Below are 2518 nucleotides of genomic sequence, written 5' to 3' on the forward strand. Positions count from 1 at the left end.
ATTCTACTATAAAGACACATGCACATACACGTTTATTGCAGCACTATTCACAGTAGCAAAGACTTGGAACCAACCCAAATGCCCATCAATGATAGACTGGATAAGGAAAATGTGGCACATATACACCATGGAATACTATGCAGCCATAAAAAATGATGAGTTCATGTCATTTGTAGGGACATGGATGAAATTGGAAATCATCATTCTCAGTAAACTATCGCAAGGACAAAAAACCAAACACCACATGTTCTCACTCATAAGTGGGAGGTGAACAATGAGAACACATGGACACAGGGAGGGGAACATCACACACCAGGGCCTGGTTGGGGATGGGGGGCAAGGGGAGGCATAGCATTAGGAGAAATACCTAATGTAGATGACGGGTTGATGGGTGCAGCAAACCACCATGGCACATGTATACCTACGTAACAAACCTGCATGTTCTGCACATGTATCACAGAACTTAAAGTATATTAAAAAAAGAATATAAAAGATAATGCAGGTTGGACAAAGAGGGAGAAAGCCAAAGTTAACAACTCCCAAATCACTTAGGTTGATTTCCTAAGTAAGGTGTTAGTCCAACACTTTTAACTTACTGAAACACACTAAAACATTTTACAATAATCACCAGTAGGCATCTTGAAAATAAAGTGTGCCTTGTATTACATATTTCTGAAACTGACCAAAAGAATAGTCCTTGAATCAATCACTTTTATACTAAGAAAGTTTCTTTTTGGCTAATTTGTCCCTCTACCACTATTCTGCATTATACACACTGACATAGAAATTAAATAAGAAGAATGGTGATAATAGCTAATGCTTATTTTGTGACTTGAATAACCTCATTTAATCATGTAATAATACTTAATGAGTATGAATATTTTATTATTATTTCCTTCTTACAGATCAGGAAACTGAAATTCAGAGTTTGAGGAGAAAAAGAGAGAGAGAGAGAGTCATATCCCCCAGAAAGAACATGAAACTGAAAGTCAAAAGAGGGAAAATATCAAGAAGTAAACACTCAAGACTGAAAGATTCAGATCTGTATATAACATTTGGTTAGTGCCCTTAACCCATCTGGGGACAAAAATCAGCCAAATCACTTTCTGCTTGTTGTTAACAATTCATACAGATAACTCAATGGAGTTGTTTGCTTAGAGAGTCCCAGGCAAATGTAGGGGAAAATGGGGCCCTGTAAGTTAGACTAGCAATTGACAGATTAGCAAGAGAAAAACAAGCAGAAGTTTGCTAGCATGTGCATTGTGTATACACAAAGGAGCAGTCAGTGATGAGTAACTCAAAGAGGTGATTAGAACTTGGGGTTAGATCACATCTTAACAAAAGAACAATTTGTAGAGAAGTGACAAAACAAAGGAAAAGTACTTTGAATTTCTGGGGTGGCAAATTGTGGGAGAGCAAATATGTAGGGAAATTAATTATAGATAAAGGCTGGTTAGTATTTGCTATGTAGACTACTCTGGGTGCAGTCTTCAGGATGATAAAGGTCTAGAGTGGTCTCTGGTGATTAACTTCTGTCTTTCCTGGTAGAGAGGGAAGGGGGAACACCTTGACAAATTTATATCCCACTTTTAGGCAGATAGGACGAAGGCAGAGACCTTTCTTGTGTCTGCTTCTTCTCAATTGCCTTTACCTAAAAATAATCTTTATGTCAAAGTGGCATATTTCGGTGTGGCATACCTTGCTTCCTTTCACCAGCAAATAACAAATGATCCCAAGGACCAAGCTAGGAGAAAAAGAAAGTTGTCCTGGGCTCAGGCGACTTCCTAAGTAAGGTGGTACTCCAGTGCTTTTCACCTACTGATACACACTAAAACATTTTACAATAATCACCAGTAGGCATCTTGAAAATAAAGTGTGGATTTCATTGTATTACATAGTTCTGAAATTGACCATGTCTTTACTACTAACTACCACTACTACTACTACTACTACTACTACTACTACTACTACTACTTCTACTACTACAGATTTTGTCTTATAGAGTAGCCAATTTGTTTAGATAAAAAGTAACATCCCAGGCCAGATGCAGTGGCTCACGCCTGTAATCCCAGCACTTTGGGAGGCTGAGGTGGGTAGATCATTTGAGGTCAGGAGTTCAAGAACAGCCTGACCAACATGGTGAAACCCCATCTCTACTTAAATACAAAAATTAGCCGGGCGTGGTGGCAGGCACCTGTAGTCCCAGCTACTCAGGAGGCTGAGGCAGGAGAATCACTTGAACCCAGGAGGCAGAGGTTGCAGTGAGCTGAGATTGCACCACTGCATTCCAGCATGGGCAACAGCATGAGTCTCTGCTTCAAAATAAATTAAATAAATAAATAACATGCCAAAGTGGATACTTATTTATATTTGACATGTTATCTCCACACAACACTTCTAATCAACATCTGGGTAAACTTATCCTAAATAATTACTGGGGCAGAGTTTCTCAAATCTTGGGCAGAAAAAAATTCCAAGTCAAAATAAAGATAGCTTGTTACCCAGATCTCATTCTCAA

General features: G+C 38.7%; 1 annotated feature.

Annotated features, from left to right (window-relative positions):
- Positions 971-1558: an enhancer, noted in NCBI's record as "NANOG hESC enhancer chr11:102852196-102852783 (GRCh37/hg19 assembly coordinates)". NCBI's record gives its function as "activates a minimal SCP1, AML or CMV promoter by ChIP-STARR-seq in primed H9 embryonic stem cells {active_cell/tissue: H9 hESC(primed)}" and the evidence as "EXISTENCE:reporter gene assay evidence [ECO:0000049][PMID:30033119]".

This window comes from Homo sapiens, chromosome 11, assembly GCF_000001405.40.
Source record: "Homo sapiens chromosome 11, GRCh38.p14 Primary Assembly".
Lineage (NCBI taxonomy): Eukaryota > Metazoa > Chordata > Mammalia > Primates > Hominidae > Homo > Homo sapiens.